The 14627-nt window shown below is 48.9% G+C and overlaps 2 annotated features.

Moving 5' to 3' along the window:
- Nucleotides 1548–1597: an enhancer, noted in NCBI's record as "active region_23317". NCBI's record gives its function as "activates an Ori minimal core promoter by ATAC-STARR-seq in GM12878 lymphoblastoid cells {active_cell/tissue: GM12878}" and the evidence as "EXISTENCE:reporter gene assay evidence [ECO:0000049][PMID:35858748]".
- Nucleotides 8451–8620: a silencer, noted in NCBI's record as "fragment chr5:141595973-141596142 (GRCh37/hg19 assembly coordinates)". NCBI's record gives its function as "represses an EF-1alpha promoter that drives an FKBP-Casp9 reporter gene in an ReSE screen in phorbol 12-myristate 13-acetate-treated (for megakaryocytic differentiation) K562 erythroleukemia cells {active_cell/tissue: K562(+PMA)}" and the evidence as "EXISTENCE:reporter gene assay evidence [ECO:0000049][PMID:32094911]".

The following is a 14627-nucleotide window of genomic DNA, read 5'->3' as shown; positions in this document are numbered from 1 at the left end:
TGTTTTGTTTTTTTGACACAGAGTCTCACTCTGTCACCCAGGCTGGAGTGTAATGGCATGATCTCAGCTCACTGCAACCTCTGCCTCCCGGGTTCAAGAGATTCTCCTGCCTCAGCCTCCCAAGTAGCTGGAATTACAGGCACCTGCCACCACATCCAGCTAATTTTTGCATTTTTAGTAGAGACAGGGTTTCGCCATGTTGGACAGGCTGGTCTTGAACTCCTGACTTCAGGTGATCCGTCCGCCTCTGTCTCCCAAAGTGCTGGGATTACAGGCGTGAGCCACTGCGCCCGGCCACGATGTCATAATTTTTAGTAGATATTACTGAGTTGTGCAAACATCACCACAATTCAGTTTAGAACATTTCTAATACCCCAGTAAAATCCCTGGTGCCCATTCAGTTCGTCCTCATCCCATCCTCACTCCCTGGCAGCCACTAATCAATCTACTTTCTGTCTCCATAGATTTGGCATTTCCGGGCACTTCCTATAAATGGAATCATACAATATGTGGCCTTTTATGTCTGGCTTCTTTCACATAGCATAATGTTTTTGAGGTTTATCCACACTGTAGCATATACTGGTACTTCTTCCCTTTTTATTGTCAAATAATATTTCATTGTATAAATTAACCACATTTTATTTATCCACTCATCAGTTGATAGACATTTGAATTGTTTCCAGTTTGGGGCTATTATAAATATTACTGTTATGTAATATTTGTATAGATGTTTTTGTGTGGATATATGTTTTCAATTCTCTTGGGTCTATACATAGCAGTGAAATTGCTGAGCTGTATGGGGAAGAAAAAGTATGGGTTGTCTAACTCTTTAAGAAATTGCCTCCCTGTTTTCCAAAGTGGCTTAGCCTCAATTTCATCATCGGCAAACTCAATATACTGAGTCTCTCCCTTGTATGGATATAGTGGGGTTTGATAAGTCAATGCATATAAAACATTCAGTACAGTGCCTGGCTCATGGTAAGTGTGCGATCACTGCAGCCTCAACCTGCCAGACTCAAGCAATCCTCCTACCTCAGACTCTTAAGTAGCTAGGATTACAGGTGCACACCACCACACCCAGCTAGTCTTTGTAGTTTTGGTAGAGATGGGGTTTCCCCATGTTGCCCAGGCTAGTCTCAAACTCCTGGTCTCAAGGGATCCGCCCATCTCGGCCTCCCAAAGTGCTGAGATTACAGGCATGAGTCACCATTGGCACCCAGCCAATGCTACTTCTTTAATTAACTTCCTGTTACTTACCTAACTCTTCTGCGGCTCTGGTAGCTCTTTGAAGGTAGGGGTTGTATCTCAACTGAGTCTTTTTTTTTCTTTTTTTGAGATGGAGTCTCACTCTGTCACCCAGGCTGGAGTGCAGTGGCGTGATCTTGGCTCACTGCAACCTCCGCCTCCTGGGTTCAAGCAATTCTGCCTCAGCCTCTCGAGTAGCTGGGGTTACAGGCACGTGCCACCACGCCCCACTGATTTTTGTATTTTTAATAGAAACAGGGTTTCACCAGGCTGGTCTTGAACTCCGGACTTCAGCTCACCTGAGAATCCCCAGCCTAGCAGAATCTCACTCACGCCAGGTGCTTTGTCGGTGGATGAGGAAACTCAAATATAGAGCCCACTGCGGGGCAGGACAGGTGTGGCACTGCCCCAGAGGCACACAGTCCAAGGGAATTGTGAGAGGGAGACTCCTGGGGAGTGCATCAGACAGGACTTCATGTGGGAGGCAGCCACTGAGCTGGGCCTTGAAGACCACTTTCTGCAGGGTCACAGGATTAATCCATAAAGAGATGCTCTCCACACTTCAAGGTAAAGCACCCAACGTCTTCACCTTCAACTAAATCCTGAGGCCCTTTTTTTTCTTTTCAGCGTCAAGGATGAAGGATGGGGCGGACACTGTCTGTTTTCTCAGTGACCTGGCAACCTAACCTAACAGCTGTGTCCAGCATCAAATACTCCTCCTCATCCCCTGCTCTTGCTCCCCAAGACCAGGAGCAGGCGCTGGAGTGCTCCTCCCTGGGGCTGGGCCACAGGCCTTAAAACTCTTTACTCCCACCTCCTTGGGGTACCCCTTCACACCTTCCTGAACATCCTCCAGGCCTATGCACACGACGGAGAGCTGGGGGTGGGGTGTGGGGTGGGTGGCAGCGACTGGGCCGTGGAGAGGATCGGGGCTCTTAGGGTGCTTATTCAGATGCAGTGTTGCTCTTTGCCCACCTCCCCTCACTTCCTCCCATGCCTCTCAGAGAAGTGAAAATAGAGCTGATGATTGGTGCGAGGAAGCCTGTGCCCATGGCCCGGAATTCCTCCAGCCTGATTCACGGGCTTTGGTTCTAATGCACTAGAATTCTCCACTGGGCGGGGGCACCAAGAGGATTCTGGACCACAGCGGTCACACCTGCTGCTCACTTCCACCTCTCACATCTGCTGTGAGGCCCACTCCCCACCAGCTCCATCAGCCAGAAGGCTGCTGTGGCTGGGGTTGCGAGAGAAGGGAGGCGGAACACTTCCTATCCCAGGGGCAATTTCAAAATCAACGCATCCCTTGCCGACCCAACGGCAAACCAACTGCTTGTTTAAGGAAATCAGTGGAATGTATGCAATTAATTACAGGGCAAATCTCAAGTCAGACTAAATACTGGAAATCAGGAACCAGAGTCCAAGTCCCTTTCGTGATCGGAAGGGGGAACTTCCCGATTTGATTGCAGAAAGCAATTTACTTCAATTAGCAGTGACATAAACAGAGTGATTGCTTAATAGGAGCACTGAATCTCTAAAAAATAAACAGCCTGAATTGCATCCTTTACCATTATATTAGCAGCATGGGATTGCTTTTCCCAAGACAGGTTTGATTAACTCTTTAGGAACCATCCTCACTCCTAAGCAGATCTCTTCAGAGCTCCTAAAAAGTCTTCACATCATGGTCCTGGCATTTGTTGTGCACCTCGGGCATATATGTTCATCAATTTGCTTGTTGCTTTAACTTTCAAGTCTTTTAATCCTCTATAATCCTGTGAGATATGTATTATTATGCTCATTTTTAACAGAGGGGGAAAATGAGGCTCAGAAAATTCATGGTGGTGATCTTTTCAAATACATACCTAATCATGTCATTCTCCTGCTTAACTTACCCTCGAAAGCCTTCCAAACCCCTCAGCATAGCCTCCAAAGCCCTGTGTGATCTGTTTCTGGCCTACTTCTCCCACCTCTGCTCAAACCACTTCTCCGCTTGCTCACCACATTTTATATTTTCAGGCCACTGCCTGTTTTGCAAGCGCGTCAAGCCCATTCCCATCTCAAGGCCTTTGCACTTGCTGTTCCCTGCGCCTGGAGCACTCTTCCTCCATTTCCAGAACTGACTTCTCAGCTTCCAGGACTCTGTTCAGAGGCTACGTCCTCAGAGAGGAGTTCCCTGTCCGTCCCATGTTCCCCACTCCCTTTCGGCTTTTGACTAACACTTAGCATGATCCAAAATTATCTTGTTTGTTTATAGTTGATGTATTTCTTGTTTGTCTCCCTCCTGGAATATAAGCTCCAGGGCGGCAGAGATCCTGTCTCCTGTTTGTCTTGTTCATTTGCACAGGGTCAAGCATACGGTAGGCAGACAGAAGATATTTGCTTAATAAAGGAAGTATTGTCCCTGCTTTTATACAGATGAGGAAATGGAAGTTGGGAGAAGTTAGGCCATTTCACAAGGTCAAACAGCTGGGAAGCAGCTCCAGGGGATTCACAGGATTCAGACATCGCTTTCTCCCATGCAGCTACACTACTTTTTTGAGGACTCTCCTTTCCTCCCTATTCTCTTCCCCCACCACCTTCTCACCTCCACCCTACCACCCCAGCCCCAGAAAGTAGGCACTCATCCAACCAGCCGGGAGAGCATTAAAATCACAACCACAAAGCAAAATCTCCTCTTCCTGTTTAAACTCCCTCCTGTGGTACTGATGCTTCTTAGCCGGACAGGGTCCCGCTCATTGCAAGAATGTGAATTCTGGAAGTTAAAGATCTTAACACCCCTCTCCCTCTGGCTCCCCACCTTGAAGGATTTAGATACCGAACTGGGCTCCCCTTAGGAAATGCATCCCCGGACTTGGACTGTGGAGGTAGTGGGCAAGATGTTTGGTGAAGCTTTCGCTGCCCTGTGACCCCACCCACCCCACAGCCAAATCCTACCCTTGGCCCAAGCTCCCCACACTGCCCAGTGAATTGGGGCTGTAAACTGGAGGAGGGAAGGCTGGAGAAGCCAAGGTCAGTGGCGGGAGAAGTGCAATGGGAGAAGACCAGGGAGAGGGTGAACACTGAAGAATTTGAGAGATGTGTGAGTGCCCCAGAATTGGGCTGTAGGGAAGTCGGCCTCCCTGAGCAGGCAGCCGTGTCGGGGCTGACCTGAAAGCAGAGGTCTGTCCCTTAGATGCTGGCTGGCTTTGGGGCTCAGAGTCTTCATCTGGTCCCTCCGCAGCATCACCTTCAGGAGAAGTTCAAGTGCAGCTGTCATTGCAGTCCCAGTTTCACTATCCATTCCCTGTGTCTCCTTGAACAGGGCTTTAACCTCTCTGAGGCCACTTCCTGCTTGATAAGGAGACCACATCGCCCACCCTGCTTCATATGCAGATTTCTTTTTTTTTTTTTTTTGAGACGGAGTCTCGCTCTGTTGCCCAGGCTGCAGTGCAATGGCGTGATCTCAGCTCAGTGCAACCTCCACCTCCTGGGTTCAAGTGATTCTCCTGCCTCAGCCTCCTGAGTAGCTGGGATTACAGGTGTGCACCACCACGCCCAGCTAATTTTTGTATTTTTAGTAGAAACGGGGTTTCACCATGTTGGTCAGGCTGGTTTTGAACTCCTGGCCTTGTGATCCACCAGCCTCAGCCTCCCAAAGTGCTGGGATTACAGGCGTGAGCCACCACACCCAACCATATGCAGATTTCAATAGTTTTTTTTTTTTTTTTTTTTTGAGATGGAGTTTCGCTCTTGTTGCCCAGGCTGGAGTGCAATGGCACGATCTTGGCTCACCACAACCTCTGCCTCCCAGGTTCAAGCGATTCCCCTGCCTCAGCTTCCCGAGTAGCTAGGATTACAGGCATGTACCACCATGCCCAGCTAATTTTGTATTTTTAGTAGAGACGGGGGTTTCTCCATGTTTGTCAGGCTGGTCTCGAACTCCCGACCTCAGGTGATCCGCCTGCCTCAGCCTCCCAAAATGCTGGGATTACAGGCATGAGCCACCACGCCCGACCAATAGTTTTATTTATTTATTTTGAGATGGAGTCTCGCTCTGTCACTGAGGCTGGAGTGCAGGGTGCGATCTTGGCTCACTGCAGCCTCTGCCTCCCAGGTTTAAGTAATTCTCCTGCCTCAGCCTCCCAAGTAGCTGGGATTACAGGCATGAGCCACCAAGCCTGGCTAATTTTTGTGTTTTTAGTAGAGATGGGGCTTCGCCATGTTGCCCAGGCGGGTCTTGAACTCCTGGGCTCAAGTGATCCACCACACCCAGCCCAGATTTCAGTAGCTTTAAATAAGAGAACGAATGGGAAAGTGCCCTGGAAGGTTTAAAGTATAAAGTATACTAAGGAGGTACTTTTGTTTTAGCCTAAATGGGAAAGAGACTTTCCCATTAACATTCTTTAAACATCTGTCAGAGGTGGCGTTTCCTATGCTCATTGAACAGGTATGGAAACAGGCTCACAGAGCAACTTGCCTCCAGCTACAGACCCCTGAAGTCTAGGTTTTAATCATTGTCTATGCTGAACGTATGCAGCTGGGACTAGATCCATTCAGACAAAATCCTGGCGAAAGGTGAAGGGCGGTGGGTGAGGGGTGTGGAGTACAAGACGCAGATGGGAAAGGGCATGGGCCACTACGGCCATGGAAAGGGCTTTTTAGTTCCAAGTTACAATAAGCATACACTAAGACAGAGTCTTGCTCTGTAGCCCAGACTGGAGTGCAGTGGCACCATCTCAGGTCACTACAACCTCCGCCTCCCAGGTTCAAGCAGTTCTCCTGCCTCAGCCTCCCTAGTAGCTGGGATTACAGGTGCCCACCACCACACCCAGCTAAGTTTTTTTGTATTTTTTAGTAGAGATGGGGTTTTACCATGTTGGCCAAGCTTGTCTTGAACTCCTGACCTCAAGTGATCCGCCTGCCTTGGCCTCCGAAAGTGCTAGGATTACAGGCATGAGCCACCGTGCCTGGCCGAGGCCAACATCTTTAAAAGCCTCCCTGGCAGCGTGTGCACATGGCCTGGTGAGAACAGGAAGCACTGGGCAATGGGGCTGGGAGAGGACGAATTTGGGGTACACTTCAAAGGTAGAACTGGCAGGGCCTATTGAGTGTGGGTGAGGATGACTAAGAGGACTAGTGGTTGACAATGCTCTGCAAAGGGGTAAAGCAAAAGTCCAGAGCTGTTTCTTGCTGGGGACATGTAAATAATTTAAGAAGATCCTGAACCAAGGGGATAAATGTGAAAAACTCTTGAAAACGGGCCTCATGTATGCCCTCGGAATAGCGATGTATAGCACCTCTAGCCTGATTGGCTAGAGCCACTCCATTTCTTTCTTGAATTAGGTATTTATTTATTTATTTATTTACTTACTTATTTATTGAGATGGAGTCTCACTTTGTCGCCCAGGCTGGAGTGCAGTGGCGCCATCTTGGTTCACTGCAACCTCCATCTCCCGGGTTCAAGTGATTTTCCTGCCTCAGCCTCCCGAGTAGCTGGAACTACAGGCACATGCCACCACGCCCGGCTAATTTTTGTATTTTTAGTGGAGATGGGGTTTCACCATGTTGGCCAGGCTGGTCTCCAACTCCTGACCTCAGGTGATCTGTCTGCCTTGGTCTCCCAAAGTGCTGGGATTACAGGCGTGAGCCACCATGCCCGGCCTAGGCTCCTCTTTTGTCCCTTCACTGTTAATTATTCCCAGCCTTTTGGGTGAGACAGAATCTTTACTCTTGAGATTCTAGTGCAAAAGGGGCTTCAGAAATACCTTAACATGGCTTCACTTAGGCTTTGATGCCAGCCTCGGGCCTATGAGCCTCCAATTCTCCCCTGTGACCATCAGGAGAGAAAACTGAGTCCCTTTCGAGGTCGTACAAAGTTTCCCAATGAGCTTAAACATCACCTCCTCCATGAGGCCTACCCTGACTACTTTAAAATAGGAATTCTGCTTCTCTATGATTCTCTGTCTTGGTACCTAGGGCATTTTTCATTCACAGCAGTTACTACAATTTATAATCAACAACTACTCATTTAATTACTCATTTGCTATCTTTTCCCGACCAGGCCAGGCACTCCCCAAGGGCAGGGAATTCTCTGTCTCTCTTGCTCACTTCTGTGTCTGCAGCACTTATGCACATGGTGGGCACCTAGAAGGTGCTTTATATCTATCTGCCCACTACATTCAAGGCACTTGACCAGGGCTTTGGAAGCACTAACCCATCCTTCCCTCTCCCTTGTGGGTTCTCTTGGGCCCCAGAGCTGTGTTCCCCTCATCTGCCTTGGGCATTTTATTCCCAAGGGGATTTATCAGCCCCAGTAGATGCCACCTGCATGGTGTCACTGAGGTCAAAAAAGTTAATAACAGAGAAAGAAGCCAGGCTTTTCTTGTTAAAATGAAAATGCTCAAAGGATCATTGCAAATGTAACTTATTCAGTCAAAAACCATGGTGCCAGGCGCTGTGCTCAGAACTGGGACGTGGTGGTGAGCAAGACCAACATGATTCCTGATCCCTCTTGAAGTTCACCATCCAGTAGGTTCCTCAGAGTCTTTTCTAAGAACCATTTTTCTCCCAGTGTAGACCTCCATGGCCAGGGAATCCAGCTCTTTCCCTTCCCTAGCCTTGCACGTGGCAGCTTTCAAGCTCCCTAAGGAAGGAATCCATGCAGTAAACCCCACCCTTTCCACCTCCAGGCCAAGGGGACACTAGAGTGAAGTTTTCATATCTTAGTCCTGTGGCTCATTAACCACATGACCCCTCAAGTCTCATTTCTTCACCTGCAAAATGGAGATCAAGAGACCCTACCCCTTAGGGATGCTATGAGGATCCAGTTAGATGCTGCCGCTGATAATGACGGCTAACATTTTTTGAGTTCTTTTCTATACCAGACACTGTGCAAGCATTTTGTCTGCATTATCACATTTAATCTTCCTAACAACCTCACAGGGGGGCTGTCATCACCACTGTTTAGAGATGGGGACATATAGGTTATATCATTGCCCAGTGTCACACGGACATTAAGTGGTGGAGCTGGGACACAGACCCAGCCATTCCACACTATGTCGACCCTCCAACCCACTGTCTTACACAGCCCCCCTGGTGAATGCAGGCAGAGTGCTTTTCTTCGTGCCTGGTATACAGCAAGTGCTCCACGAATGGCGCCTCTTACTCAACAGCTGGAGGCTCCCCATGCAAGACTTCCCAAGCTTCAACAGTTCCTAAGGATTGGCCCGTGACCACTCAGCAGTCAGATCCTCCCCAACCCATTCCTGTTCCAAGTCCCAAATCTGCATCCTTACAAAAGCTCAGATTGAAACAGACAGTAGCTGGAAGGCTGGCCTTTCCCATAATTTCCCCAGCAGTCCAATCACTGTGGCCACCCAGCGCTCGGCGCTGGCTGAAAACCCAGATCTCAGCCTCCCCGGAAGCCGAGTGAACAAGTTGGCTCAACAGACTAATTTTTTCTCCCTGTTCCCTTCATTCTACCCTCTGGTCCTGGCCTGAATCAAAACAGCAGGGGCCTGGGAGGTAGCTCCGGGTACCACTGGGACAAGCACAACTCGGTTCCAAAGAAAATGATAGTATGAGGTCACTCATTATAATATTTAGCTCCCAGAAGAAACCGCTGTGAGCCCCATCCAAACCACAGACAGCTTTGGCAGCCCCAGTATCCTCTTACGGTTACATAAGCTTTGCAGGGAAATAAATACCAACTCATCTCGAAGGAATTTTAAGGACTAATAAACCTTAACCAGTCTGTGCAGAGAGGGCTTCCTTCTGAAGGAGGGGCTGCGGTTTTAGAGAGGAAGGATTGAGAGGGCTCTGGGGCAGGGCTGGGAGGGACACCTTGTGGGCCTGGCTGCAGGACATTCCTCAGATAGACTCAATCCTGCAGCCTCATTTGTGGGGCAAAAATCTCCAAGGTCAGCAGGTCAGCCATGTCCCAGGCCACCTCCTTCTTGTATACCATCAGGATCCACTCTCTAGTTTCCTCTTATAGGTAGTGAGTTACCTATCACTGGAGGTATTCAAGCATATTCAAACATAAACTGCATGGCTTTAAGAGACTGTCTAGTTCCAATATTTTATTTTATTTTATTTTTGAGATGGAGTCTCACTCTCTCACCCAGGCTGGAGTGCAGTGGCATGATCTTGGCTCACTGCAACCTCTGCCTTCAAGGTTTAAGTGATTCTCGTGCCTCAGCCTCCTGAGCAGCTGGGATTACAGGCATGCTACAACACCTGGCTAATTTTTGTATTCTTAGTAGAGATGGGGTTTCACCATATTGGCCAAGCTGGTCTTGAACTCCCAGCCTCAAGCGATCTGCCCGCCTCAGCCTCCCAAAGTGCTGGGATTACAGGTGTGAGCCACTGCACCCGACCCCAAGATAGTATTTTATATTATGTTTTTCAGGTATAGGAACTACCCTTGGCATCAGCAAAAGGCAGGATGGTACAGTAGTCTCTCTGTCTTATCCACGGTCTCCCTTTCTGCAGTTTCAGTTACCCATGATCCAGTAAAATATTTAGAAAGAGGCTGGGCGCGGTGGCTCACATCTGTAATCCCAGCACTTTGGGAGGCTGAGGTGGGCAGATCACCTGAGGTCAAGACCAGCCTGGCCAACATGGTGAAACCCCATCTCTACTAAAAATACAAAAATTAGCCAGGCGTGGTGGCGGGTGCCTGTAATCCCAAGCTACCCAGGAGGCTGAGGCACGTGAATCGCTTGAACCTTTAAGGCAGATGTTGCAGTGAACCGAGATCATGCCATTTACACTCCAGCCTTGGTGACAAGAGCAAAACTCTGTCTCAAAAAAAAAAAAAGAAAGAAAGAAAGAAAGAAAAATTAGAAATAAACCACATTCACCTGCCTGGCCAATATGGCGAAACTCTGTCCCTACTAAAAATACAAAAATTAGCCGGGTGTGGTGGCCCATGCCTGTAATCCTAGCTACTTGGGAGGCTGAGGCAGGAGAATCGCTTGAGCTGGGGAAGCAGAGGTTGCAGTGAGCCGAGATTGTGCCATTGCACTCCAGTCTGGGTGACAGAGTGAGGAAAAAAAAAAAAGAGACCACATTCACATAAATTTAATTGTAGTATATTGTTATAATTGTTCTATTTTATTATTATTGTTGTTAAGCTCATATTGTGCCTAATTTGTAAATTATACTTTATCACAAGTATGTATGTATAGTAAAAAAAAAACATATTACACACATATAGGGTTTAGTACTATCCATGGTTTCAGGTATCCACTGGGGGACTTGGAACGTATTCCCTGTGGATAAAGGGAGATGACTGTATAGATAAAAGAACTTGCGTTGGGAACCTGAAAACCTATTGTGTTGTTTTAGCTGGGTGACCTCGGGCAAGCTGCTTCACCTTTATGAGCCTTGGTAAGAAAGAAATAACAATTACTCTCTTCTGTCCTCCCCACCTGATTGCTGGAAGGGGCAGAGAAATTGTAGATGTGTAAACATGTCTTGCAAATCACAAAATCCTATGCTAGTAATGGTGAGATGCCCCAGGTACCCAGGGGACTAAGTAGGGATGGGGGCTTTCTGCCTGTGGTAATAGGAAAAGCACTAGAAGCCCAGCCCGATCACCACTCCATGGTCAGGTTCTTCCATTGCCCTTTGTTTTCTGGGGGAAGCAAACCAAGTGTGTTAGGGTGAAGGCTATAGATTCTGAGGCCAGACTCCCTGCATCTGAATCCTCGATCAGCCATTCACTAGCTGTGTATCCTCGGGCAACTCACTTGACCGCTCTGTGCCTCGGTTTCCTCATTTTATATTTGTATAATAATGGTACCAGTCAGAAGTGGTGGCTCACACCTGTAATCCCAATACTTAGGGAGGCCAGGAGTTCAAGACCAGCATTGGGAAAACAGTGAGACCCTGTCTCTAATAATAATAATAATAATAATAATAATAATAATAATAACAGGGCTGGGTGCGGTGGCTCATGCCTGTAATCCCAGCACTTTGGGAGGCTGAGGCGGGCGGATCACGAGGTCAGGAGTTCGAGACCAGGTTGACCAACATGGTGAAACCCCATCTCTACTAAAAATACAAAAGTTAGCTGGGCGTGGTGGCGCATGCACCTGTAATCCTAACTACTCGGGAAGCTGAGGCAGGAGAATCGCTTGAACCTGGGAGGCGGAGGTTGCAGTGAGCCGAGATCAAACCATTGCACTCCAGCCTGGGCAACAGAGCAAGACTCTGTCTTAAAAAAAAATAATAAAATAAATAAATAAAATAATACAATTAAAAAAATAATAATAGCCTATCTTAGAGAGTTGTTAGGAGGATTCAACAATATATATCAAGGGCTTAGAACAGTGTCTGGCACAAAGCATGTTATGAATGTCTTCCCCAGCTAATTGAGTTAATTTTCTGTTAGCCCTGTCACTGATCAGTCCTGAGGAACAGAAGACAAGCTGGGTAAATTTTGTAAGGAATAACAAAAACAATGACTACCATTTAATGAGGTCTTGCTCTGTTGCCCAGGCTGAAATGCAGTGGTGCAATCACAGCTCACTGCACCCTCCAACTCCTAGACTCAAGTGATCCTCCCACCTCAGGCTCCTGAGTAGCTGAGACTATAGGCGAGCACCATCATGTCCAGCTAATTTTATTATCTGTAGAGAAGGAATCTCGCTATGTTGCCCAGGCTGATCTTGATCTCCTGGGCTCAAAAACAATCCTCCTGCCTTGGCCTCCCAAAGTGCTAGGATTACAGACATTAGCCATCGCCCCCAGGGGACTTTTATTTTTAATTAATTAATTATTCTCTTGAGACAGAGTTTTGCTCTTGTTGCCCAGGCTGGAGTGCAGTGGTGCAATCTTGGTTCACTGCAACCTCTACCTCTGGGTTTTAAGTGATTCTCCTGCCTCAGCCTGCTGATAGCTGGGATTACAGGCGCCCACCCCCACGCCCGGCTAATTTTTTGTATTTTTAGTAGAGGGCGTTTCACCACGTTGGGCAGGCTGATCTCGAACTCCTGACCTCAGGTGATCCACCCGCCTTGCCTCCCAAAGTGCTGGGATTACAGGCATGAGCCACCTCGTCCAGCCAATTTTATTTTTTTAGAAATGGGGTCTTGCTCTGTCAACCAGGCTGGAGTGCAGTGGTACAATCATAGCTCACTGCAGCCTCAAACTCCTGGGATCAAATGATCCTCCTCCTGCCTCAGCCTCCCAAGTAGCTGGGACTACAGATGTACACCGCCACACCCAGCTGATTTTTAATTTTTTTTTTGAAATGGGGTCTCGCTGTGTTGCCCAAGCTGGTCTGGTCTCAAACTCCTAGACTCAGGTGATCCTCCTTCCTTGTCCTCCCAAAGTGCTGGAATTACAGGCGTGAGCTACCACACCCAGCCTACTCATGTACCTTATCCTATCTAATCTCCATAATAGTTCTTTGAGGGGGTAGAGAAGAGGGGACTAAGCCGCACTGAGGTTATATCACTTGTCCAAGATCACAGAGCAGGCAAGTAATGGTGTCAGGTTTGAACCCAAGCATTCTGGAATGAAAGCCAATTCTCTTAACCTTATTTGAAGTTTGGGGTATCACCCAGGCTTCTGGGAGGGGCAGCAGGGCAGGACCTTGGTGATCCTAGTCCCCGCAATGGGGGGTGAAAAGAAAATGTCTGGATGATGTGTCATGAACACAATGGGTGACCCTCAAGCCACACCCCAGTGCCTGGCCACTCACAGGGATCCTGGTACCTCTAGTTTCCAAGGAGGAGAAAGTCCTGCCTTCAAGGCCAGATAAGACAGCGCAGTGTCAGGGAACAAGTATCAAATCTGAGGGAAGTGTCAAGTGCAAGAAGAGACAGAATCTCATCTTAGCTGGAGTGGTCTTCTTCCCGGCCCCCAGGCTGTGGACAGAGGTTAGGGGACACACTTCCAGAATGTGTCACTCCCAGAGGAGTGAGCCTGTGTGGGCAGAGCAAACTCTTAGAGGTGAAGCAGCCTGCTCAAGTCAGCCCAAGCCCAGGGAGAGGCTATATCTGGGTGGCCTGCATAACCAAGGCCACCTCAGGGTTAAATCAGCCAATGACCACGGGGCTGGAACAGGACCCCCTAGTCCCAGAGCTGACCGAACACACCCCCAGAGCACCAGGGCCAAGATGCTTGGGCACCACTGCTGTCTCCCCACCAGCAGCAGAGACCCCGCCAGGCCCTCCAGCAGAGAGATCTGATTGCCCCTGGAGGCTAAAAGCAAACACACTGTGATGCCTTAAAGTTCTCACTGGTTGACAATGCCCATGGAAGAAAGAGAACCTGCTTGATCCTCACTCTCCAGACTTCGGTGCTTCCCAGAACACACCGCAGGCCGAGAAGGCCCTAGAAAGGTGAGGCCTCACCCCTCTGCGCCAGGCACTGCGCTAATCACGGCCAAGCTTCTGGAGATGTGGGTGTCGAAGGACATGGCTAGAAGATGGGTGCGGCCAGGAGAACTGGTAGGGGATAGAAACCTTGGAAGCCTTCTGAAAATCCCGAATAGATGCAGCTATGAAATCCCACCTGGTCTACTACTCATTCACCAGTAGGCCAGCAGGTGGTTTGGGCCTCCTGCCCTGGCCTAGGAAAGTGCTCTAGGCAGCCATCCAGGAGGCTCACAGGCCAGCTTCATTGGAACCCGTCAGCACCCCCAGCCCTCAACAGCAAGGCACTCGTCCCACAGACCCTCCCCCTACCACAGCAGGCAGGCAGCTGGCAGCTTATTTTATGAACATCCAAAATCCAAGAGGAACCGCAAAACCACACTGGGTTGTAGACAACCAGTCCTGAATGAGGCTGAGGCCGGGGATGCCACTTGCCCCCTCCTTCTAGGCTGGGCTTCGGCTGGGCTCAATCAGGGTCACCGCTGCCCTGTGTGGAGCAGTGGTGGGAACCCGCTTTCTGTCCACCAGCCTCTCCTGACCCCCACAACTCCTCAATCAGCTCTGCGGGCTGGGAATACCTGCTTTCTCCCCAGGTGGACTTGAGAATGGGGGATAGGGAGAGGCAGTGTGGGGCATGACATAGCTCAGAGGGTCAGTAACGAATGGAGACTCTTCACTGCCCATGACTAACTTCTGAGAAAGGGGAAGGCATCAGAGGTGTGGGGAACTCTAGTAGCTAAAGATGGCATGAGGGAGGGGAGAGGGAGGAAGGGAGAAATGTATCACTCACTGAGCATTATGTTGGGGAGGTTCCTGTGTCAGGAGATGGAGTTGTACTGCATTCCTTTTAACGATGGTGGCTAATATTTCCGGGTGCCTTTTTCAGCTGTGAGAGTTGGAGGGCGTAGAGACAAAGAGATGGCTGGACCAATAGCGTTAGAGCTTCTCGCCGCTTCTCTTTCTTCATCCCAGTGACAGCCTCAGAGGTGGTAAGATCTTAGCTTAGACTTTATCTTC

The sequence above is a fragment of the Homo sapiens genome, chromosome 5 (assembly GCF_000001405.40).
Source record: "Homo sapiens chromosome 5, GRCh38.p14 Primary Assembly".
Classification (NCBI taxonomy): Eukaryota; Metazoa; Chordata; class Mammalia; order Primates; family Hominidae; genus Homo; species Homo sapiens.
This window is presented reverse-complemented; position numbering and strand designations above follow the sequence as displayed.